The sequence below is a fragment of the Homo sapiens genome, chromosome 3 (assembly GCF_000001405.40).
Source record: "Homo sapiens chromosome 3, GRCh38.p14 Primary Assembly".
NCBI classification, from domain to species: Eukaryota; Metazoa; Chordata; class Mammalia; order Primates; family Hominidae; genus Homo; species Homo sapiens.
The window spans coordinates 81858149-81884126 of NC_000003.12; the positions used below are offsets into that span (position 1 = coordinate 81858149).

The window sequence follows — 25978 nt, forward strand, 5'->3', positions numbered from 1 at the left end:
CACATCTAAAATAAGAAGTTTTAAATTTTCTAATTGTTGTCCTCTCCTGCAGATGATAGTTAAACTATTTTGTCAGCTATGATTTATAAGTACAGTACTCATTATGTTCCTATTCCTTTATATTTTACTATATTCTTTTTACCTTTCTCAAATGGGACATTTCCTCAAGATAATGTATATAATTATTCTCATTAAAAACTGGTAAACCGGCCGGGCGCGGTGGCTCACGCCTGTAATCCCAGCACTTTGGGAGGCCGAGGCGGGCGGATCACGAGGTCAGGAGATCGAGGCCATCCCGGCTAAAACGGTGAAACCCCGTCTCTACTAAAAATACAAAAAAATTAGCCGGGCGTAGTGGCGGGCGCCTGTAGTCCCAGCTACTTGGGAGGCTGAGGCAGGAGAATGGCGTGAACCCGGGAGGCGGAGCTTGCAGTGAGCCGAGATCCCGCCACTGCACTCCAGCCTGGGCGACAGAGCGAGACTCCGTCTCAAAAAAAAAAAAAAAAAAAAAAAAAAAACTGGTAAACCTAGAGAAAATACTCTGTATTTTATTACTTAGCAAGTCTTTACCAAACAGGTGATTTTTGAAAACATTTAATACTCTTGTAATAATTAAAGCCTTTTTGTTTCATTCCAATAACATTTCTTAACATTTCTCTCCAGGTGAGTACATTTTGTGTTTTTAAGCTAAAAAAATGCAACACGGCCTGCCATATATCATATTTGTTATTAAATGGCTCAAAATTTTAATTATATTTTTATGTTGGAATGCAAGCATGTATTGCAGAAATCTGAGGTCACTTTTAAAGTTCAAGAGACTTTTCAGAATGGTAAAATGAATATAAACTTTAAAAGAAATGTCAATGTTATTCGATACAATTACTGTTAAAAATGAAATAGTTAAGGATAACATGTTTTGAAAATTAAAAAGGAAAAGGGAAAACAAAATTATATTGCTTTTCTGGTGTTGTTATGTTGATATTGTTGTAATTTTACAAGGTTTGCTATATGTTAATTTTTTTCCTTTCTTTATTTTCTCTTCTTTTTACGTAAAAAATGTTGCTGTATTCCACTATGTAATGGACAATTAAGTATTAGAACCAGCTGTTTCATCTCTGAATCTTTTGCTTATCATTGCTGGGCAAGAAGCAATCTTCAGTGGGACAAAATGAGAGTTAATGTTATAAAATAAAAACAAATCAGAGAAAGTGAAAGGCTTTTTGGGCAGACAAGCCTTACGGATTAAGAACGAAAAGGGCCAAGTTTAGGTCCCAAGTTCATGAAAAAATTTATTCTGATTACATGGACATCTTATGGCTTCTGAAATAATTATTTAAGCATGTAACATATATAGTTTGGCTTCTCATTAAGGAGTAAAGAATTGAAAAGTTCTTTAGCGGAGAGTTGAATAGAGTACATGAATCTGGCATTTTAATAGAAAAATATTGCTAGCACCTATGAGGTTTTCCATTTTATGTTGATTGGCTTGCCTCAACTCATTTTTGGTTGTTTGCTTTTTGGCTAGCACCTTCATGAATCAGAACTTTCCATATATGGAGGTTATTCAGCATGTCCTTTGTGAGTAATGGTTACAGGTATAAGGTGCATACAGGTAGATGTGAAGAAGGCAGTGGAGGATAACAGGAAAATGGAAGAGAATGAGGAAATGTATGGTCCTGTGGAAGAAACACTGGAATTAAGGTCAGAGTTCTCAGCTTTAAATTCATTCTGCACCCTTCTAAGAGTAACTGTGGACAATTTCTTTAATCTTCTTTTGAGGTTCACTTTCTCCATCAGCCTGTAGGAGAATACAGGGTCTGAAAAAAAAATCCTTGAGATGCTTGCCTCATAGGCTCCTACATCAGATGATGTGTGATGGTGGCTTGTAAGTGGGGACACATTATTTAGATATTAGGGGGTATTTGCAAACGAGTGCTGCAAAATTTGGAGCTCCTAATACATATTCCAAAATGTCTAATAGTTTCTCTGAAACATAAATATTTATGGTGAAAAAAAACTTATGAAATCCTAGGTACAGTTTGGATGACTCAGTTTTAACAAAACATCAACTATTTCCTATGTACTTCCCCAAACATAAGAGTTAACTACAAAATAAAATAACCTGTCTTTCTTCTTAGATTTCTATAAGAAACTTTCAATGCTGTTGATTTGTTCATTGGCTGATTTTACATGTTCTCGTTTTCTTTTTATAAAGCATATGTAGGAAGAAAAATCTGAATTAAGATTTATGCTTTCTTGTATTATTTTTGTTTAAGCCGGCATCAATTGCGGGCAAGGCTGAATCCAGGTTTTGGGGGCCTGAAGCTTAATCAATGTGGAGGACCTCTTTGAGGAAAAGCATGCAAAATTACAAATACAAAATTAGGTATGAAAGTGGAATTTCATGTAGAATGAGAGAACAAATTAAAATAAATCACATCCCTTTTTCTCGGATCTTTTTTGGCTATTTATTGGAAATGCTTACATAAAAATGCTTCATGATTACAAGCTGACTTTCCCTCCTCATGTGGAATTTTACAAACCCCAGCAACTCCTAGCAGCCACATGGGCTGGTACAAGGTTTATCTGACCCTGGCTGTGAAGAAAATCTGTTAAGCTCCCTTTGCTCTCGTTTCTCTTCATTGGGGCTACCAAAGCACCCCACACAACTCTTTAAAAAGCAAGAGAAGACACTTTTTGAAGGATTACAATCTTTTACCCCTTCAGTGTAACCGCTAAGTGTTACCAGGCAACGATCACCCAAGGGTTCTTCATATAGTTTTTTGTTTGTTTTTACCTATGAATTTTAATAAAATTTCCTAGAGGTTAGACAAGGAGGCTTTGAATGATCAATTGCTTTCTACCTCAAGGAGATTTGTATTTTGTTTTGTTTTCCAACTACCCTTCTTCCTTCCTCCTCAAGGCTGGTGCAGGCTTCATTTACTTATTTATTTTTAGTCTCTTTAATTTCATGGCATATAGTAGTCATTCTCAAACTTGGCTGCACATCATCTGGAGAGCTTTCAAAACTGCTCACGTGCAGTTACACTCCCAGAGATTATTATTTAATTAGTCTGGGGTGATTTTACCATGCAGCTAAAGTTGATAACCATTGTCTAAGATCCCAACAATCTATATTTCCTTAAGATCGATCTTTATTTTTTTTAAAGGGGCAGAAATGGCTGAAAAGTCTAGTGGTAAATATGCATATAAGGCCCATTAATTTGACACTGTTTTGTTTAAAAATAAGATGGCTGCTGGGTTATTTCCAAATAGTGAAGATAATTGTTATCTTACTGAATAATTCTTAAAATCAATTTGGACATTGCAATATCCTCTTAACCACTGAAAACAGGCAGAATTTAGAGATTAACTTCACTCTGGTCTTTAGATTTACTAACTTTTCAAACTTTATTGAAACTAGATGGCTCCATTTATCAGGCTAGAAGTTTTTGGTTTTTTAAGATTTCTTAAAACTTTATACTTGATGATCCCTTTACTTGAGGAGAGTCAGTGGCAGATCAGAGAGTACAGAGCAGGGTAAACATAAAAGAGAGGGCTGAAAGCTGTGCTATACAGTAGAATGGCTCTAGGATGGGGAAGGACAAATGGGAAAGTTGGTGCGAGGTACTGATTCTAAAGTCCAGTCAGACATTCTGCCAAGTTAGAGGATGTGAGCAAGTTTCTCTGTCATTCTGTGCAGGGAATGACAGTGTAAAGATTTACCTTCTGAAATAAATCTGTTATTTCAGTGATGGGACTAAGGTGAAGAGATACCTTTTTAGGTGTTCTCAACAACCCAGCAACTGAGGTGTGATGCTGAGTGTTTTTATTAGACTTTTTGATGTGAGTAGATGTGTACAACCAGAGGGCATGTTTTTTTCCAGAATGAGGCAGGATTCTGTAGTGGCCGGGACTGAAGCAAAGGACACATCCTTTTGTGAGTAACACAATCAATTTAGGATGTTGTGACCAGCACTTAAAAATAAATGAAATTTAATAGAACTGGTAGAAAGTGCTGTGGGGTAACTGCTGCTTCACAGAACTTAAATGGATCAACCTAGACTCAGAGTGTGTGGAATGAACTTCCAACTAAGCGTACTTAAGAGAGAAGAAACATAGAACAAAGGGAATCCTCACAGTAGCTTGGTACTTTTAGTTCTAGAATATCTGAACAAAAGCTAAGAGTTGTGAGTAGGGTAGTGGAAGGCTGGGGATTATTTCAAGTGCCTCCTCTGGGACTTAGGAAGAAAATGGGCGAAGTATGGTATTTTGATAGGGTACTGTGGAAATAGGATGTCTTGGTAGAGAAAACAGTGCATCTTGGTATAAGAAAAAGTTTTACTGTTTCGAATATTAGTGAAGAATGAAGGTAGCCACTAAAGGAGGAAAAAAAATATACCAGGATGTCCACATTTCTAAGAGGAAAAAGAAGAATATATAGCAGCTTGATTAAACCAACCACACTAAGAAAATAGGTAACAATGTATGATAAATGATAAACATAAAATAAGATTTAAAAAGTAAAATAAATTATTTAAATCATTGAAAAAATGTTTAAGGCAATTCTTCTGTCAACCTAAAGAAAAGAACTGAGGCAAAATTAATATAAGTTGAGAGTTTATTTGGGCCACGTTTGAGGACTGCAGCCTGGGAGCATCGTTTCAAGTTGCCCTGAATATACACCCTAATTAACCACAGCTATAAGAAGGTTTTTAAAGGAAAAGAGGAGACAGTTCCTAAGTGGTTTACCAAAAATTTATATTAAAATAACATAAGCTATTATTGGCTATACATTGTTCTTTGTATCACAAATTTCAGGAACATGAAGATAATGGGTGAGGCAGCTGCTGAGGACCAAAATTACTTTAAACAATGACCCCTGAACATGGGGAGAATGTGACTGAAGTACCTACTCTTGTCTCTCTGGACCTGATACATTTTGAATACCTCACATAGCTCAGAACACTCTGAGCTATTTTCCTTTTCTCACTTCTGTTGAAAGGAAAAGGGACAATAAGCTAAATAAAAACAGAAACAAAAATTCCAGTTAAATACAGCTTATAAAAATAATTGAACAAAGTAATAAATTATGCCAGTAAAAAAGACATATCTGGCCGGGCGCAGTGGCTCACGCCTATAATCCCAGCACTTTGGGAGGCCGAGGAGGGCAGATCACGAGGTCAAGAGATCGAGACCATCCTGGCCAACATGGTAAAATCCCGTCTCTATTAAAAATACAAAAATTAGCTGGGTGTGGTGGTGTGCACCTGTAGTCCCAGCTACTTGGGAGGCTGAGGCAAGAGAATCACTTGAACTAGGGAGGCGGAGGTTGCAGTGAGCTGAGACCGTGCCACTGCACTCCAGCCTGACAAAAGATGGAGACTCCATCTTAAAAAGAAAAAAAAAAAAAAGAAAACATATCTCACTGTGAGTTATGGTCCAAAAAATTAATAGCCACTATTTTAGGTAGTTGGATGATTTCAACCTGAGTGTTATGTACTTAGTTGGTTGATTCACTTATTCTTTCATTTATTCAACAAATATTTATTAAAATCCTTAATGTTTTTCAAGTACTGGGGAAAATGTGTGCATTACAAAGAAAATAAGAAAAACAATTCCTGATTTCATGGTGTCTACATTCTAATGGAGTAGATAAGTAATAAACTATTTAGTAAGCCAAAAATAACTTCCTGCTATAATAAGAGTTCTGCGGGAAAGAGACGGGGTGCTTGCTATAGAATAACAGGAGGTGACATAATGTAGAAGGTGTGATCAGGGAAGGTTACTGAGAAAGTGACATTTAGTTGAATTCACTTCAACTTCTGTTGGATACAAGGTTTGAATTTTCACATCTGATATTTTACCGCTAGTTTCCTGTTTCTCAACCTCAAACCTCACATAACATTTATAAAGGGAGTTATTTCATTTCCCTCTATAAAATGAGGATCTAATTTCCACAGAATTACAATGGGCTCATCCACTTAATTAAATTATTTGGAATCGAATTAGACTTATTGTATTTGCCTTTAAGTTTAAAAAGACATCTGAATTTGAAGGGAAGGAAAAGAACCTCTAAAACAAATCTCTAAACCAGTCTTCTAAAAATAACATCAAAAACCCAAGTAATTAGCTAAATAGGCTTCATATTCAAAGAGAAATTACCAATTAACCTTCCCCTGGCCCCCTATGAGGAAAGACAGCGAGAGCGTTGAAGAGTGAGGAATTCCTGCAGTGGGAGGATCTGATCCATTTTGCGGGACGCCCTTGCTGAAGGCAATACTCACTTGAAAGAAAATCCCAGCCACTGATTCCACTTAAGTTTAGAACCTCTTAAGGGCTGAAAGGGCGAGCTTTGTTTGCTGAGAGAAAAACAATCAAGATGCGGAAGGAGTTGGCTAAGGAAAGTCTGCCCAGAGTCAGGTCTGTTTTCTGTCAGTAAGTTTGGGTTTGGCAATAGATACAACCAAGACAGTTGTTTTATTTTGAGCTCAACGCTGGTGAGATGCAATATACAAATATTGTCTAAGCTGTATAACCTTAATTTGCTGATAAAAATTGGATGTTATGTTTGTGTTAGAACCTAATGCCTTTCTGGAATTCAGACACTATGTGCCATACTGACTGCTTCTCCTTGGTAGGTTAGGCTGTCCTTACGTGACTTACAGAAGCAGCATATTTTAAAAAAATCCTTACCTGAAAATTGAAAATAGAAAATCAAAAGCTGAGTATTCTCTTTTCATTGCTCCCATAACACTATCTGTCCCTCTATTTTTGTATTTAGTGAATAGTTTTAACACTGCTTATAAATGTTTTCCTTTAGATTATGAACTCGAGGGATCTTGTATTTTTCTTTCCTTTTTTTCTCTTTCTTTCTTTCTTTTTCTTTCTTTTTCTTTCTTTCCTTCCTTTCTTCCGCCCCCTCCCTCCCCCTTCCCCTTCCTCACCCCCTCCCCTCCCCTCCCCTCCCCTTCCCTTTCTGTCTCATTCTATCACCCAGGCTGGATTGCAGTGGCACAATCTCACTGCATCCTATGCCTCCTGGGTTCAAGCAATTCTCATGCCTCAGCCCCCGAGTAGCTGGGATTACAGGCACATGCTACCATGCCCGGCTAATTTTTGTATTTTTAGTAGAGGTGGGATTTTGCTATGTTGGCCATGCTGGTCTTGAACTCCTGGGCTCAGGGGTGATCCGCTTACCTCAGCCTCCCAAAGTGCTGGGATTATAAGCATGAGCCACCGCACCCAGCCAGATCTTGTTTATCTTTGTAATATCAGTGCCAAACCATTTCTGACCTACTTAGACAATGCTGAATTTAAAACAAAATTGGGAATGCTTTATCAACCTTACTTAAAACGTATAAACTCACTCCAACTTGGGCTTTTGTCCCTTTCCCTATGATAAAATTATGTTTGCCACTGACGTCCATGGCCTTCAGTGGCCGATACTGTACCTATTGTCAGCGTTGGGCATGATTAGCTTTGCTTTCCTTCTGGGACAACATAATTTTTTGTTTTTCTCCCCTCCTCAACCACCGGAGTGCCTCAGGGCTCAGGTCAAGGATCCGTTCTTCATCAGCACAGTCCACATGATCTTATTTACTCTCTTTGAATGTGGCATCCACATTTGTATTGAAACCCCAAGATCTCCCCGTTAAACAGCAGTATCATCCTGCTAGTAGCTTTCTCTTGGTTACATAACTGGGATCTCAATAGTACCTGGTCAACATCAAGTCCTGATTTTTCTCCCTCAAGCCAGTTTCTCTGCAAATCTTTTCCTTCTTTATAAATGGCAAGTCCACCCTTCCAGGGACTCAGGACCCCAAATTTGGAATGTCCTTAACTCCTTTTTCTGCTACCCCACACAATGAATTTACTAGAACAATCCCATTGTTTCCTCCTTCAATATGTATTCAGAAACTTACCACTTTCCCCCACTGCTATTACTATTGTCCAAGCCAATGTAATCTCTCATTTGGACTAAGATTTGAAGCATGAGCATTTAATTACAAAGTTCATGCTCCTTTCACCTTTTCTAGGTGGTTTTCAAACCTGGCTGTACCTTAGAATCACCTGGGAAACTTTAAAAACAACTAATATCCAGGCATCAAATCACCTCAGATCCCCTGATGTAATTTGTCTGGTGTGGAGCCCAGGCATGGGTATTTTTCTTATTTTGATAATCTATGGGTGATTCAAAGGTATAGTTGGGATTGCGAACCACTGCTATATCATGTTGAAGGTGTGGGTGGGGGTTGAAGTATATCATAATGTAATGTTTTAAAAGTGTGGTCTGCGAACCCCAACTATCTGAGACAGGTCTCAGTCAGTTTAGGAAGTTTATTTTGCCAGAGTTAAGTATGTGCACCTGTGACACAGCCTCAGGAGGTCCTGATAAGATGTGCCCAAGGCAGTAGGGGCACATGGTTTTATACATGATTTTAGGGAGATAGGAGACATCCATTAATATATGTAAAATGTACATTGGTTCCATCCAGGGGGCTTCCAGGTCATAGGTAGGTAAGAGACAAATGGTTGCATTCTTTTGAGTTTCCGATTAGCCTTTCCAAAGGCAGCAGTCAGATATGCATTTATCTCAGTGAGCAGAGGGATGATTTTGAATTCTGTCTGTCCTTTGTCCACTAGGAAATTCCTTGTGAGGGAGGTGTGTATCTTTTTTATTTAGTAGCTATCCTTTTTTTTTTTTTTTTTTTTTGAGATGGAGTTTCACTCTTGTTGCCCAGGCTAGAGTGCAATGGCGCAATCTCGGCTCACTGCAACCTCCGCCTCCCAAGTTCAAGCGATTCTCCTGCCTCAGCCTCCTGAGTAGCTACAATTACAGGCACCTGCCACCATGCCTAGCTAGTTTTTTTGTATTTTTAGTAGAGACAGGGCTTCCCTATGTTGGTCAGGCGGGTCTCGAATTCCTGATCTCATGATCCACCCACCTCGGCCTCCCAAAGTTCTGGGATTACAGATGTGAGCCACCGTGCTTGGCCGCTAGCTTTTTAAAGAAGAAAATGGGAGGCAGATTTGCCCTAAGCAGTTCCCAGCTTGACTTTTCCCTTTAGCTTAGTAATTTTGGGGTCCCAAGATTGATTTTCCTTTCACAGGTCCAAGATCAACAGCATCAGTCTTCTCTGAGGACTTGTCACAATTGCAAAACCCTGAATTAGAGACTCGAGGCTTACGGTTTAACAACCCACATTTTAACAAGCCATCTAATGCACAGCCAAGTTTGAGAACCCTTAACATAGAGATTAAGGGCCTTGACTTTGGGTTGAAAAAGATCTAGGTTTTAAATGGACTTTCAACACTTGATAGCCATGCACACTAAATCAAGTAACTCAACGCCTCTAAGCCTAAATTTACCTAGATGTGAACAAAGGTAATGTTATTTACTGCTCTGAAAAATAATGAGTTAGTTAATGTAAATCACTTGGCCCATACCAATTGTTCAACAAATAGTAACTAATACTAAGGGGTATTTTGGAAAGAGTAATGAGTCAGAAACTGAGCCTATAAATAAGCCTATTTTTAAAGATCTGGGGAAGACAGTTATGGGAATGTGAAGCAGGTAATCTGAGAATTGTATGAGTAGATTATGCTTTAGAAGACATCAACAGCTAATATTGAAAAATGGACAAAAATGTCCAGCCTATGGAATATTTAAAGAGTTGATTTCCTCAACAGAATTGGAACTAACTCATGCACATTGTTGGACATATAGTAGTTATATAACTAATAGTTATACTAACATTTCCTACTTTTTCATTTTGTTAGATAAAGATATTGCTGACTTGCTTTTAGGGTCATCTGTTTAAATACTCTTTGGATGTTTAGATAATAGATTTGGTCATGCAAAGTACTGATGGCAAATGGGTTAGATTTGAACTTCGGGCTTATGTAAACTTCCTTTTTGAGCCAGGCCTCACTCCCTCCTATTCTCCCTTAGAGATCCAGAGTCTAAAAGCATTTGTACGTGGCCAACAGGAGGAAGGCATGTGTTGAGAGAATGAAAGGATTCCTGAGATTTTAAATCAGATTCACCTGTTTATTCTAGAATTTTTCTTTTGTGGTTTAGTGGCAAAGGACTTTGTATGTGTATGTATGTGTGTGCACATGTGTGCCTCTTTAAGATATCCTTACAAGGTTACCAAATATTATTATCTGTTTTAAATTACTTAGAATGACTGCATGTTATATCTATCTATCTATCTATCTATCTATCTATCTATCTATCATCTATCTATCATCTATCTCTCTCAATCAATCATCTATTAGTCTGTCTGTCTATCTATCTGGATGTGTGTGTGTGTGTGTGTAAATTGTAAAATAGTAATGCCAGAAAATGGCCTTATAGTCTTTTAGGGTGTTTGTAATTGGATTTACTATTACCACTGAAATTGTCATAAATTTGAGGAATGTGAGATGTTGTACAAAAGAATTGAACTCAAGCTTGATTCCTTTGCTTCAGAAGATGCTTCAGGTAGATTAGATAAAATTCTGGAGGTGCTTGAAAAGTTTTGAAAAACAATGAGAATTTAAACTTGGAGATAGGTAGATAGAAAGAAAAATCATTGAGCAAGATGGAAGTATTGATTTGAGAACATTTGCTGAAAAATGTGAGTGCAGGGGATATTGCATAATACACTGGCACATACACATGAAGAGAGTTCTCAGAAATATGCCATGGTGTTGGAGAGAAAATGCCAAGAATAATTTTCCCATTGATCTAAAAGTTCAGTTTTTGGTTTAATATTTCTCATGAATTTAGGATAAAAATAATTGATCTAACTAACTGGTTTATGTTTAAATATGACTTTAACACGTATTCTATCAGGAGGTAAAATTTTTATTCATGGAGTTTAGAATATGATCATGTCACTTATGTGAAAAAATAACAATCAGTGAATCAAAAGATATACTATAGTATAGCAAATTTTGAATTGTGGTTCTGGCATTGATTTCATTAAAATTTCTTTTATTGAAATGAAAAAATAACATAAGCAGATATACATTTGGATGGTCAAAAAGGGAGAGAATCTCAGTTTATGCATTTAAGCAGTTTTCAGTAATACATTACTGCAAAATTTATAATACCGTGAATTCTAGATCAGTACTCTAAATGAGGCAATTAAACCTTTGTGTAAGTACTTGTGTCTTTCTTCTGAAAAAAATACTGGTCACTAATTTTCTGTTTTATATTTGTTAAAAAGAAAGCTTTATAGTTTAATTTTACCCTGGTTAACCTTAACTTGTCAACAGATTATTGAAGATTTGTAAGACTATTTACTCTACTAATCCATAAAAAATGAGGTTACCATAGTAACTAGAATGTCTTTAATACTCTGCTTATGTAACCTCTGAGATTCAGAATAGTTTTTCATCTGAACTCTGCTATTAGCTACACTGATTTCAGATGCTCTATTGAACTTCGTACTATAGAGGGAAGTGCTTTCTTTACTGATTATGCAAGCCTGAGTATTTTTAGACAATTTGTTCATAATATAGTCCAAGTGCCTTGGATGTTTGGGAAATTTTAAAGGTGGAAATAATTTAAAACCACTTTCAAAAGACTTTGGGAATAGCAAAGAGGTGGTGTTGGAATATTTGTTTAAGAAACTGTGGACTTAAGAGTTTCAATTTTCAGAAATGCCTTGAAGTAAAAAGGATCAGTCGTTTGATGCATATGTTATTCTGAGAAATTCTTCTATAGGGAGATTACATCTTGTTATTGGGAGACTATCTTATTAACTCAGATCATGTAAAGAAACACAAATCTTGCTTCTTCCTAATAAGTTCTACTACAAATAATATATACATGATTTTTGCAAGGAGTGAGTGGAATTGAGGTTCCGGAAATTTAACACACTCTTCGTATGGCTCATTTTCATGCTGTTGCCTCTATTTGGAATGATTTCATCATTTCTGCACACCTCCATCCCTAGCATGCCCCTAATATTTCTTGGTTTACTCTTATTTATTCTTTACATCTTATCTGAGATGTCATATTCTCTAGGAATATTGCTACGTTAAGACTTTTTATACATGCTTGTATAATATCTCTTGAAGATAGTTTCATGACCAATTATAATGGTTGGTTCACTTCTCTGTCATTCACTTGCTCAGGTGTCCTGAAGGAAAAGGCCAAGGTATTATGGCTTGGCCTTGGTGCTGTGGGCTTGAAGACCCATTTAGTGCCTTCATTCATAGTAGGTTTCCAATAAATATTACGTCCATTAGCTGTATTAGTTTCCTATGGCTGCCATAACAAAATACCACAAACTGGGAAGCTTAAAACAACAGAAACTTATTTTCTCCAGCTCTGGAGGCTAGGTGTCTGAAAACAAGGTGTTAGAGTTCGTTCCCACTGGAGGCTTTCAGGGAGGATCTGTTCCATGCTTTTCTCCTAGCATCCTTGCAATTACTGGCAATCCTTGGTATCCCTTGGTTTGCAGTCATCACATCACTCTAATCAATCTCTGACTCTTATCTTCACATAATATTCTCCCTTGTGTCTTTGTCTGTCTCTTCTCTTCTCATAAGGACACCAATTATGTTGGATTAGGTCCACCCTATGACCTTATCTTAACTATGTCTCCAAAGGCCCTATTTCCAAATAAGGTTACATTTACAGGTATCAGAGTTTAGGATTTCAAGATATCTTTTAGGGGACACAACGCAGCCTGCAACAGTAACCATCTAATGCATTTTGCCTTTAGGACTGGATTGATATACAATCTTAACCAGGGGCAGGTTAGTCACTAAGTTGCTAACTAGTTCATTGCTTAGTCATTTTACTTAACAGGATGACATTCACAGAATGAAAAGTACTTGGTCTGATTATTTGAATTGTCTTGACATCCAGACCTGATAACTCCTTAGAGAATTTTACATACTGATAGTGGTCTCTGTGATTCAGTCAGCAAATATATGAACTAGTTTGCTATATGGATACAACTTCAGCAGTTCTAAAAAGGATAAATTTATTTGCAGCAATTTCAGAAAGAATTAGACCCCAGGAACTGTGTCGTATTCAGGGTTGTTAATTCTTATGTGTAACTCAAATTCTCACATTTTTAATTTGGGTCATCTTTATTTGGCACCCACTGCAAGGCAGGGGGAGAGGAGGCAACAGAAAAGTTATTTCTTGGCATTTAGAAACTAGTTGATTAACATGCAAATTTTATTCAAAGTAATACAAAATATGCATCTATTATTTTTGGTTCATCAGATTGAGTTATTTTTAATTTTAATAAGATGCAACAATAATTAAGTGATTTAAAATATATAATTTAATAGTGAACTAGTTTTGTAGTAGCAATGATTGCCAGGTTGCACATGAAGCTCCAGGTACAGTATCAGCTACAAGATCCAACAGGCAGTAGGCAGAGAATGGGACCTGGAAACCAGCCCACATTGGTGACAACTAGAGAAGTTTTTAGAGTTCCAGGGAGAGGATAGCAAATAAATTTGAATTGGCACTAGGCAAGAGAGGGATTTTTACATGTGTGTGTGTGTGTTTGTGTATGTGTGTGTGTCTGTTTCCTTTTTAAATATTGTTTTAGGTTAAAAGGTTGATGTGGTTTTGGATCTAATTGGGTGTGAATGTGGACAGGTGGAAATATACATGAATGTTGATGGGTCTGTATATTTAGTACATAAATGGATATTGCAGCTACTGGTAGATGCTTTGCAACTTCCGAAAGATATGTGTCCTAGTTCTCTAAATTAATAAGACGTTAGTGTTTTAGAATATAAAAAATTATCACAACGGGTTTTCTTGTTTTTATTATTCTACTAAGCCAGCAGGGGGAAGTCACACATTACTTTTTGGTGGGCTTCAGAAATATTTTTTCAGACTTTTTCTTAAAAAGGTCCATGCTCTTAGTAAAAAAAAGTAAATAATTTAAAATAGAGAGCTTGTAGTTATGATTCTCATAAGCATGCTAGCATCAATTCTAAAAAAGCAGCCTGAAACTTTAACTTCTTTACCTTTTCTAAATAAAAAATATACACCTCAATATTCCTGGCAGAAAATATTAAATAATTACCTTGTTGTTGAGATATGAATAATGTTTCCAAATGGTTAATTTTATTTGTAACATCAGAAATGTAATCACTGAATTTAAATGGCGCTGCAAAAAGTAAAGGAGAATCTCTTTGTCAATATTTAGTGCTAGAAGTAAATTATTTTGATATATGCCACTGTATTCTTCATCTTTTTTTTTATTTTTTGCAGTTTAAAAACATCTGAGGAAGATAGAAAACATTTTATCTTTCAAGATAAAAAAAGAAAAGCTCTTTGCCAACAGAAAACATAATATGCGGACTCTATGGCTATTGTTTCTGAAAAATATAAGAGATGATTACATCACATTGTGTATTCTGTAGGAAAAACACTGTAATGCTTATATGGCTAATAATGGAATGATCTAAGTCAATATATTGTGCAGTTTTGAGTGACAGAAGAATTACACCATTATTCTTTGTATTTTGGTTTCTGCACTAAGTTAGTCATGTTCACTGTTTCATCATCAATTATCATTCACTCATTTTATAAAATTTTAGCATCTGCATTTAATGTTACTGTATGGTTTCTGTTTACTACAGCTGGTTGCAATAGACACAGATGACAATTTCAGAGCTGTGTATAAAAGGTCACAAAAAGTAAACATTCAAAACAGAAACATCTTACTTCCAGAAAGTATAAAATTGACGTATGAGTAAGATGTCAAAAGTTATGAAAACTGGAATGTGTTCATCTCATTACATGTAAATGCATCTATTTGAAAAATGTGTTTTTTAAAGTAGATCATTAGGTAACATTAGTCTTAAAAATCATAAATTCTCCATCATTATGATTGTTCTATGTTACCAATTACATATAAATGTTAAATTACAGAGAAAACAAATAGAAAATAATCATCACATGTTTAAAAATTTGCAAAAATATAAAAAGTTATAAAAAAATTCAGTTCAAGAAGTAGAACAAAGGGCATAAAAATAGTACTTACTGTAAAGACAAAACCACATAATTTATATAATACATATTTTATAGAATTTTAGTTATACTACACACACACATGCACACACACACACACACACACACACACACACACTAAATGCTAAAATGTGGAATAAAAAATTTACAGTGGGAGGGCAGGCAGAACAAGGTGACAAGATAGCTATACCTCCAAATCTATATCCTCCATCACCAAGACTTATCTTGAAGTGTTAAACCTAGAAGTGTATCCAGTAACCAGCCTTCAGAAGAATATTTTTTCCAAAGTGCTGTTGAATTAAAATCATAAACAGCTAATGGAATAGGAATGAAATAATTATTTTCTTTCATTTGCTGGAGAAAATACTGAGCTATGAGCTTTTCTTTTCACTACTGGGGTTAAAATTTTAAGCATTCTATTCTTAAAGGAGTGTCTTTTTTCTAAAGATTTACGTTCAGCAGCTGAATTTTAAAGCTCTGAGAACACAGCAGTTATATGTTAAGCCTAGTGCAAACCTGACCTAGATTATTTTCACTGGCTAAAAATTATGAAAAATATCAATAATTTTATTGGCAAAAAGATACATAGAATAAGTAGTAATCTTAAGAACTGAACAAGGCATCCAGACATACTGAAAAATATGGGGCAAAGCAATTAGAGAAAAATTAGTCATTTTCTTCTAGATAGATTATATATTCTTTAACAGTAAGGTTTATGACTATTATCTTTATTTCCCCACCTGCTCTTCCAGGAATAGCTGCATATAATAGTTACTAAATACATATTTTTAAATTATCAGGTTTCCTTTTAATTCATGTAACGTTTTAATCTGTAAATGTAATCACAGAAAGTCACCTCATTTTTAGCTTTACTGATTGGAGATGAGGATTGATATTACGATAAGAGTGATATAACATATGGTAGACCTAAGTGCATGAATTTTGTATTCCCAGGTATCATTTAAATTTCCTGTCATTTTATGTTGTTATTTGTAATATCTTTGTGTTAACATGCCTCATGGTAATTTAGGAGCAGTGACACAGTCTTACTAAAAAAATGCTAGGGCTCTTGGCTTAAAATGTTCACTTGCATTTAATATTACAGAAATTTACATGTTGGGATTAAGTGGCCTGAAAATGTAAGATAAAATGGAAGTAATGCAACCTACTGCAATAATATTGTGCCAATATTCAGGCAGGGCACAGAGGAAAAACACAACAGGTTTTGAAACCAGTCAAATTAATCACAGCCTAAGCTGGACAAGAGAGAGGGAACAATTGCTATTCATCAGATCATGCTGTGATGATGAAGGAAACAGATCTGATAATTTGATTACTGGGCTATAGATACAGAATTTTGGAAATCTTTCTCAAGTAACTAACTTCTGGGAATGTGTGCAAGTATTTCTATGGCTTGGAAGTAGGAGTTGAATCGCTCTTATAACTCGTATGTTTTAAGGTGAGCAACCCAGACACAACAAAAACTGTTCAAATATGAGATCAAGCAATAATTCATGATTCACAGACAACAATCAGGGAAAGGGAGCTAATAGTATGAAACTGATGAACAGAATATCAGAGTAGTAGCCCTTGAGGTATTATGAGCCAGAGATCTATACATGCAATTATAGGCTTCCACTTTTCATTTTAATGTCATGTTAACCCCTTAAAACCTTTTATTTGTGTCCAATAGAATCAATGTACCTAATAGTCATTCACCTCATAGACTCTACCTCAGGGTGGTAATTTGAGAGCCTGGAATGCCAGCTGAGGGAAGACATGGGAAGACAGCCAAGATCAGCACTGCCTTTCTGTCAGCCCCTACTTGATTTTCCTTGCATCAGTGGTGCTATCTAAAGGAATTGCTAAATGGACTGATGGATGTATTTGTTAATAATGACTTTATCTATATAATGAAGTGATGGTTGGTATTCCTGGCCTCTGAGAATTTTTGAATCCAGATTTTATAAAATATATAAGTCTTGCATTACTCTGAGGCAGCAAGACAGTGTATCTCTTTGAAATGAAGGTGAACTTGACTAAAATTTCAGGTCTAACATTTTCTAGCTGTATGACTTTGGACACCTCGGTTATTCTCTTTTCCTCACTTTCTTCTTTTATAAAATGGAGATGTTACATGTCCATTTATATGGTTCATATAGCAAACACTTCATATGGTTGCTGTAAAGAGAAAATGAAATCATCTATGTGAACTGCTTACTGGAATACTGACAGGTAGAAGATGCTTACTTGTTAATAGCTATTTCTATGGCCACAAGATGCTCTTAACTATTTAAAAGCTTCATCATTTGAAAGTGAATACTATTATTTAAACTTGAGAGCTATCAAATGCATTTCATATTTTCTGTTTGAAAAATATGATGTAAAATAAATTAATACCAAGGAAATATTGGTAGTTCACAAAGTCATTTGCAATAGTCTCCCAAGACTGAATACTTTGGGGCACCAAATTATGGAAGGCTAGATAAGTGCTTCTGCATTTTAATAAGTGAAGCTGATACTACAACTTTTTAAAGTAATGATGTATTTTCATGGCTCCTGTCTCTGTAAAAGCCAAGTGTTCAAAGAAATGCATTAAAAAATTAATGGATATACGAATGCTTTTGGTCTCCACTCTCTTCTTGCTATGACAGACAAAACAATGGGTGAAAGGAGAGCTTATTATTTCAAAGAGATAATTCCTTAAGTTAAAATGGCAGTGTTTTCTTTCTTTCTTAGGATTTCCTTTTACAGGAAGAGTTAAACACCTATTACAGGTTGAATTTTGTCCTCTTCAAATTCATATGATGAAGTCCTAACTCTCAGCATCTCAGAATGTGAACTTACTTAGAAGTATGGTTGTTGCAGATGTAATTAGTTAACATAAGGTCATATTGGAATACAGTGGGCCGCTAATCCGATAAGACTAGTGTTCTTTTTTTTTTTTTTTTTTTTTTTTAGACAGAGCCTTTCTCTCTCGCCCAGGCTAGAGTGCAGTGGCGCAATCTCAGCTCACTGCAACCTCCGCCTCCCAGATTCACACCATTCGCCTGCCTCCGCCTCCCTAGTAGCTGGGACTACAGGTGCCCGCCACCACGCCTGAGTAATTTTTTGTATTTTTAGTGGAGACGGGGTTTCACCGTGTTAGCCAGGGTGGTCTTGATTTCCTGACCTTGTGATCCACCTGCCTCGGCCTCCCAAAATGCTGGGATTACAGACATGAGCCACTGCGCCCAGCCAAAGACTAGCGTTCTTTTAAAAAGGGGAAATTTAGACACAGACATGCACAAAGAGAGAATACCATGTGACCACGAAGGCAGAGATTAGGGTGATGCATCCAAAGGCCAAGGAATGCCGGTGGTCGCCAGCAAACCACCAGAAGCCAGGAGAGAGGCATAGAATGGATTCTCTCTCACAGCTCTGAGAAAGAATCAACCGTGCTGAAACCTTATCTTGAACTTCTATCCTCCAGAAGTGTGAGACAATAAAATTCTGTAGTTTAAACCAGCAGTTTGTGGTACTGTGTTACAGTACCCCAATGAACTAACACCAGATAATTAATTAGAATATGAATTCTGGGGAACTGTGTATAAACTTGTATTCATCTTCACAGAGTTATTGCTATGAAATAAGTTACCATGATTAAGTAGCTTAAAAGAACACACATTTATTATCTGACAGTTTCTGTAGGTCAAGAGTCCAGGCACAGGTTAGCTGGATTCTCTGTTCAGTTTCTCACAAGGCTGTGATCAAAGTATTAGCCAGGCTACATTCTTGTTTGAAGGCTTGGAATAGGGAAGAATCTACTTCCATGCCCATTCAGGTTGTTGACAGAATTCTTTTCCTTGTGGTTGCATGACAGCTTCCTGTTTTTTCCCCTAATTGTTGCCTGGGGACTAGTCTCTGCTCCTAAAGGCTATTTGCTGTTCCTTACTTGGCACCCGCTTCACAGTCAGTTCACAACACTGACTGTTCACTTTTTCAGGGTTCTCTTACTCCATTCTACTAAGTGTAGGTGTCCAGTGGAGCAGTGGAGCCTTATGTAATGTAAGGTAATGTTAGTAGCATCTCATCACCTTTGCCATATTTTATTGCTGAAATAAATTCACAGGATTTTTTTTTTTTTAGACTGAAACTCGCTCTGTCGCCCAGGCTGGAGTGCAGTGGCATGATCTCGGCTCACTGCAAACTCTGCCTCCCAGGTTCAGGCCATTCTCCTGCCTCAGCCTCCCAGGCTGGAGTGCAGTGGCATGATCTCGGCTCACTGCAAACTCTGCCTCCCAGGTTCAGGCCATTCTCCTGCCTCAGCCTCCTGTAGCTAGGACTACAGGCGCCCACCACCATACTTAGCTAATTTTTTGTATTTTTTTAGTAGAGACGAGGTTTCACCATATTAGCCAGGATGGTCTCAAATCTCCTGACCTCGTGATCCACCTGCCTCAGCCTGCCAAAGTGCTGGGATTACAGGCGTGAGCCACCGTGCCCAGCCAATTCACAGGTTTTATGCACACTCAAAGGGAGATTAACTACACAAGGATGTAACTCATTAGGAGTCACTCTAGGGTGGGCTGATAAAAAATGGTGTTTTTGTTTGTTTGTTTTGTAACAAAAAAGCACCATCAGCATTCACATGTGCACATGAGCAGGAACACACACAGACACACACACACACACACACAAAGCAGATCAGCTGTTCAATTAGAAAATCATCATAGCATAACAAAGCCTGCAACTCCATCAAAATCAAGTTCTAAGGACAGGGCTATAGAGTTCTATTTACCTGAGGAAGATTAACCACTACAGACCAAGCCAAGATACTCTGGGATGTCCATTGCCATTCTTCAAAAGGCTCTTTAGTTTTTCAATATTTCCCAAGCTATGATTAAACGTATTACCATCTTTTATATACATAGAAAAGATATATTTAAACACCTCTGGTCTACACCTGAAATAAGAATGAAATGTTGGGAGGGTGGAGCCAAGATAGCTGAATAGGAACAGCTCCAGTCTACAGCTCCCAGCGTGAGCGATGCAGAAGATGGGTGATTTCTGCATTTCCAACTGAGGTACTGGGTTCATCTCACTGGGGAGTGTCAGACAGTGGGTGCAGGACAGTGGGTGCAGCGCACTGAGCGTAAGCCGAAGCAGGACGAGGTATTGCCTCACCCGGGAAGTGCAAGGGGTCAGGGAATTCGCTTTCCTAGTCAAAGAAAGGGATGACAGATGGCACCTGGAAAAATCTGGTCACTCCCACCCTAATACTGTGCTTTTCCAATGGCCTTAGCAAATGGCACACCAGGAGATTATATCCTGCGCCTGGCTTGGAGGGTCATACGCCCACGGATCCTCGCTCACTGCTAGCACAGCAGTCCAAGATCAAACTGCAAGGTGGCAGTGAGGTTGGGGGAGGGGCGCCCACCATTGCCGAGGCTTGAGTAGGTAAACAAAGCAGCTGGGAAGCTCAAACTGGGTGGAGCCCACCGCAGCTCAAGAAGGCCTGCCTGCCTCTGTAGACTCCACCTCTGGGGGCAGGGCACAGACAAACAAAAAGACAGCAGTAACCTCTGCAGACTTAAATGTCCCTGTCTGACAGTTTTGAAGAGAGTAGTGGTTCTCCCAGCATGCAGCTGGAGATCTGAGAACAGACAGACTGCCTTCTCAAGTGGGTCCCTGACCCCCGAGTAGCCTAACTGGGAGGCACCCCCTAGTAGTGGCAGACTGACACCTTACATGGCCGGGTACTCCTCTGAGACAAAACTTCCAGAGGAACGATCAGGAAGCAACATTTGCTGTTCACCAATATCCGCTGTTCTGCAGCCTCCGCTGCTGATACCCAGGCAAACAGGGTGTGGAGTGAACCTCCAGCAAACTCCAACAGATATGCAACTGAGGGTCCTGACTGTTAGAAGGAAAACTAACAAGCAGAAAGGACATCCACACCAAAACCCCATCTGTACATCACCATCATCAAAGACCAAAGGTAGATAAAACCACAAAGATGGGGAAAAAACAGAGCAGAAAAACTGGAAACTCTAAAAATCAGAGCACCTCTCCTCCTCCAAAGGAGTGCAGTTCCTCACCAGCAACGGAACAAAGCTGGATGGAGAATGACTTTGACAAGTTGAGAGAAGAAGGCTTCAGATGATCAAACTACTCCAAGCTAAAGGAGGAAGTTCGAACCCATGGCAAAGAAGTTAAAAACCTTGAAAAAAAATTAGATGAATGGCTAACTAGAATAACCAATGCAGAGAAGTCCTTAAAGGACCTGAAGGAGCTGAAAACCAAGGCACGAGAACCACGTGACAAATGCACAAGCCTCAGTAGCCAATTCGATCAACTGGAAGAAAGGGTATCAGTGATGGAAGATCAAATGAATGAAATGAAGTGAGAAGAGAAGTTTAGAGAAAAAAGAATAAAAAGAAATGAACAAAGCCTCCAAGAAATATGGGACTATGTGAAAAGACCAAATCTACATCTGATTGGTGTACCTGAAAGTGACAGGGAGAATGGAACCAAGTTGGAAAACACTCTGCAGGATATTATCCAGGAGAACTTCTCCAATCTAGCAAGGCAGGCCAATATTCAAATTCAGGAAATACAGAGAATGCCGTAAAGACACTCCCTGAGAAAAGCAACTCCAAGACACGTAATTATCATATTCACCAAAGTTGAAATGAAGGAAAAAATGTTAAGGGCAGCCATAGAGAAAGGTCGGGTTACCCACAAAGGGAAGCCCATCAGAGTAACAGCTGATCTCTTGGCAGAAACTCTGCAAGCCAGAAGAGAGTAGGGGCCAATATTCAACATTCTTAAAGAAAATAATTTTCAACTCAGAATTTCACGTCCAGCCAAACTAAGCTTCATAAGTGAAGGAGAAATAAAATACTTTACAGACAAGCAAATGCTGAGAGATTTTGTCACCACCAGGCCTGCTCTAAAAGAGCTCCTGAAGGAAGTACTAAACATGGAAAGGAACAACCAGTACCAGCCATTGCAAAAACATGCCAAATTGTAAAGACCATTGAGGCTAGGACGAAACTGCATCAACTAACGAGCAAACTAACCAGCTAACATCATAATGACAGGATCAAATTCACACATAACAATATTAACCTTAAATGTAAATGGGCTAAATTCTCCACTTAAGAGACACAGACTGGCAAATTGGATAAAGAGTCAAGACCCATCAGTGTGCTGTATTCAGGAAACCCATCTCAAGTGCAGAGACACATATAGGCTGAAAATAAAGGGATGGAGGAAGATCTACCAAGCAAATGGAAAACAAAAAAAGGCAGAGGTTGCAATCCTAGTCTCTGATAAAACAGACTTTAAACCAACAAAGATCAAAAGAGACAAAGAAGGCCATTATGTAATGGTAAAGGGATCAATTCAACAAGAAGAGCTAACTATCCTAAATATATATGCACCCAATACAGGAGCACCCAGATTCATAAAGCAAGTCCTTAGTGACCTACAAAGAGACTTCGACTCCCACACAATAATAATGGGAGACTTTAACACCCCACTGTCAACATTAGACAGATCAACGAGACAGAAAGTTAACAAGGATATCCAGGAATTGAACTGAGCTCTGCACCAAGCAGACCTAATAGACATCTACAGAACTCTCCACCCCAAATCAACAGAATATACATTCTTCTCAGCACCACACCACACCTATTCCAAAATTGAGCACATAGTTGGAAGTAAAGCACTCCTCAGCAAATGTAAAAGAACAGAAATTATAACAAACTGTCTCTCAGACCATAGTGCAATCAAACTAGAACTCAGGATTAAGAATCTCACTCAAAACCGCTCAACTACATGGAAACTGAACAACCTGCTCCTGAATGACTACTGGGTACATAATGAAATGAAGGCAGAAATAAAGAAGTTCTTTGAAACCAACGAGAACAAAGACACAACATAACAGGATCTCTGGAACACATTCAAAGCAGTGTGTAGAGGGAAATTTATAGCACTAAATGCCCGCAAGAGAAAGCAGGAAAGATCTAAAATTGACGCCCTAACATCACAATTAAAAGAACTAGAGAAGCAAGAGCAAACACATTCAAAAGCTAGCAGAAGGCAAGAAATAACTAAAATCAGAGCAGAACTGAAGGAAATAGAGACACAAAATACCCTTCAAAAAATCAATGAATCCAGGAGCTGGGTTTTTGAAAAGACCAACAAAATTGATAGACCGCTAGCAAGACTAATAAAGAAGAAAAGAGAGAAGAATCAAATAGATGCAATAAAAAATGCTAAAGGGGATATCACCACCAATCCCACAGAAATACAAACTACCATCAGAGAATACTATAAACATCTCTATGCAAATAAACTAGAAAATCTAGAAGAAATGGATAAATTCCTTGACACATACACCCTCCCAAGACTAAACCAGGAAGAAGTTGAATCTCTGAATAGACCAATAACAGGCTCTGAAACTGAGGCAATAATTAATAGCTTACCAACCAAAAAAAGTCCAGGACCAGATGGATTCACAGCCGAATTCTACCAGAGGTACAAAGAGGAGCTGGTACCATCCCTTCGGAAACTATTCCAATCAATAGAAAAAGAGGGAATCCTCTCTAACTCATTTTGTGAGGCCAGCATCATCCTGACACCAAAGCCTGGCAGAGACACAACAAAAAAAAGAGAATTTTAGACCAATATTCCTGATGAACATCAATGCAAAAATCCTCAATAAAATACTAGCAAACAAAATCCAGCAGCACATCAAAAAGCTTATCCACCATGATCAAGTGGGCTTCATCCCTGGGATGCAAGGCGGGTTCAACATATGCAAATAAATAAACGTAATCCAGCATATAAACAGAACCAAAGACAAAAACCAGATGATTATCTCAATAGATGCAGAAAAGGCCTTTGACAAAATTCAACAACGCTTCATGCTAAAAACTCTCAGTAAATTAGGTATTGATGGGACATATCTCAAAATAATGAGAGCTATCTATGACAAACCCACAGCCCATATCATACTGACTGGGCAAAAACTGGAAGCATTCCCTTTGAAAACAGGCACAAGACAGGGATGCCCTCTCTCACCACTCCTATTCAACACAGTGTTGGAAGTTCTGGCCAGGGCAATCAGGCAGGAGAAGGAAATAAAGGGTATTCAATTAGGAAAAGAGGAAGTCAAATTGTCCCTGTTTGCAGATGACATGATTGTGTATCTAGAAAACCCCATCGTCTCAGCCCCAAATCTCCTTAAGCTGATAGGCAACTTCAGCAAAGTCTCAGGATACAAAATCAATGTACAAAAATCACAAGCATGCTTATAAACCAATAACAGACAAACAGAGAGCCAAATCATGAGTGAACTCCCATTCACAATTGCTTCAAAGAGAATCAAATACCTAGGAATCCAGCTTACAAGGGACATGAAGGACCTCTTCAAGGAGAACTACAAACCATTGCTCAATGAAATAAAAGAGGATACAAACAAATGGAAGAACATTCCATGCTCATGGGTAGGAAGAATCAATATTGTGAAAATGGCCATACTGCCCAAGGTGATTTATAGATTCAATGCCATCCCCATGAAGCTACCAATGACTTTCTTCACAGAATTGGAAAAAACTACTTTAAAGTTCACATGGAACCAAAAGAGAGCCCGCATCGCCAAGTCAATCCTAAGCCAAAAGAACAAAGCTGGAGGCATCACGCTACCTGACTTCAAACTATACTACAAGGTGACAGTAACCAAAACAGCATGGTACTGGTACCAAAACAGAGATATAGACCAATGGAACAGAACAGAGCCCTCAGAAATAATGCCGCATATCTACAACCGTCTGATCTTTGACAAACCTGAGAAAAACAAGCAATGGGGAAAGGATTCCCTATTTAATAAATGGTGCTGGGAAAACTGGCTAGCCATATGTAGAAAGCTGAAACTGGATCCCTTCCTTACACCTTATACAATAATTAATTCAAGGTGGATTAAAGACTTAAATGTTAGACCTAAAACCATAAAAACCCTAGAAGAAAACCTAGGCAATACCATTCAGGACATAGACATGGGCAAGGGCTTCATGTCTAAAACACCAACAGCAATGGCAACAAAAGCCAAAATTGACAAATGGGATCTAATTAAACTAAAGAGCTTCTGCACAGCAAAAGAAACTACCATCAGAGTGAACAGGCAACCTACAGAATGGGAAAAAAATTTTGTAGTCTACTCATCTGACAAAGGGCTAATATGCAGAATCTACAATGAACTCAAACAAATTTACAAGAAAAAAACAAACCACCCCATCAAAAAGTGGGTGAAGGATATGAACAGACACTTCTCAAAAGAAGACATTTATGCAGTGAAAAGACACATGAAAAAATGCTCATCATCACTGGCCATCAGAGAAATGCAAATCAAAACCACTATGGGATACCATCTCACACCAGTTAGAATGGCGATCATTAAAAAGTCAGGAAACAACAGGTGCTGGAGAGAATGTGGAGAAATAGGAACACTTTTACACTGTTGGTGGTACTGTAAACTAGTTCAACCACTGTGGAAGTCAGTGTGGCGATTCCTCAGGGATCTAGAAGTAGAAATACCATTTGACCCAGCGATCCCATTACTAGGTATATACCCAAAGGATTATAAAACACACTGCTATAAAGACACATGCACACGTATGTTTATTGTGGTAGTATTCACAATAGCAAAGACTTGGAACCAACCCAAATGTCCAACATTTGGATAGACTGGATTAAGAAAATGTGGCACATATACACCATGGAATACTATGCAGCCATAAAAAGGATGATTTCATGTCCTTTGCAGGGACATGGATGAAGCTGGAAACCATCATTCTCAGCAAACTATCGCAAGGACAAAAAACCAAACACCGCATGTTCTCACTCATAGGTGGGAATTGAACAATGAGAACACATGGACACAGGAAGGGGAACATCACACACTGGGGCCTGTTTTGGGGTGGG

The 25978-nt window shown here is 37.9% G+C and overlaps 1 long non-coding RNA gene across 7 annotated transcripts in view; it reads left to right on the top strand.

The window, feature by feature from the left end:
• The window catches only part of LOC105377178 (uncharacterized), a 51481-nt gene extending 33855 nt beyond the window's left edge, over nucleotides 1-17626 (top strand). For 3 of the 7 annotated variants that reach the window (NR_188681.1, NR_188676.1, NR_188677.1), the window contains one exon: nucleotides 14246-17626. This is a non-coding gene — a long non-coding RNA (uncharacterized LOC105377178). Of the gene's footprint in view, nucleotides 1-1525; nucleotides 1702-2276; nucleotides 2387-14245 lie in introns of all 7 variants that reach the window. The other 4 variants (NR_188678.1, NR_188680.1, NR_188675.1 and 1 more) reach the window with 3 other exon arrangements.
• Nucleotides 17627-25978: the final 8352 nt, after the last annotated feature.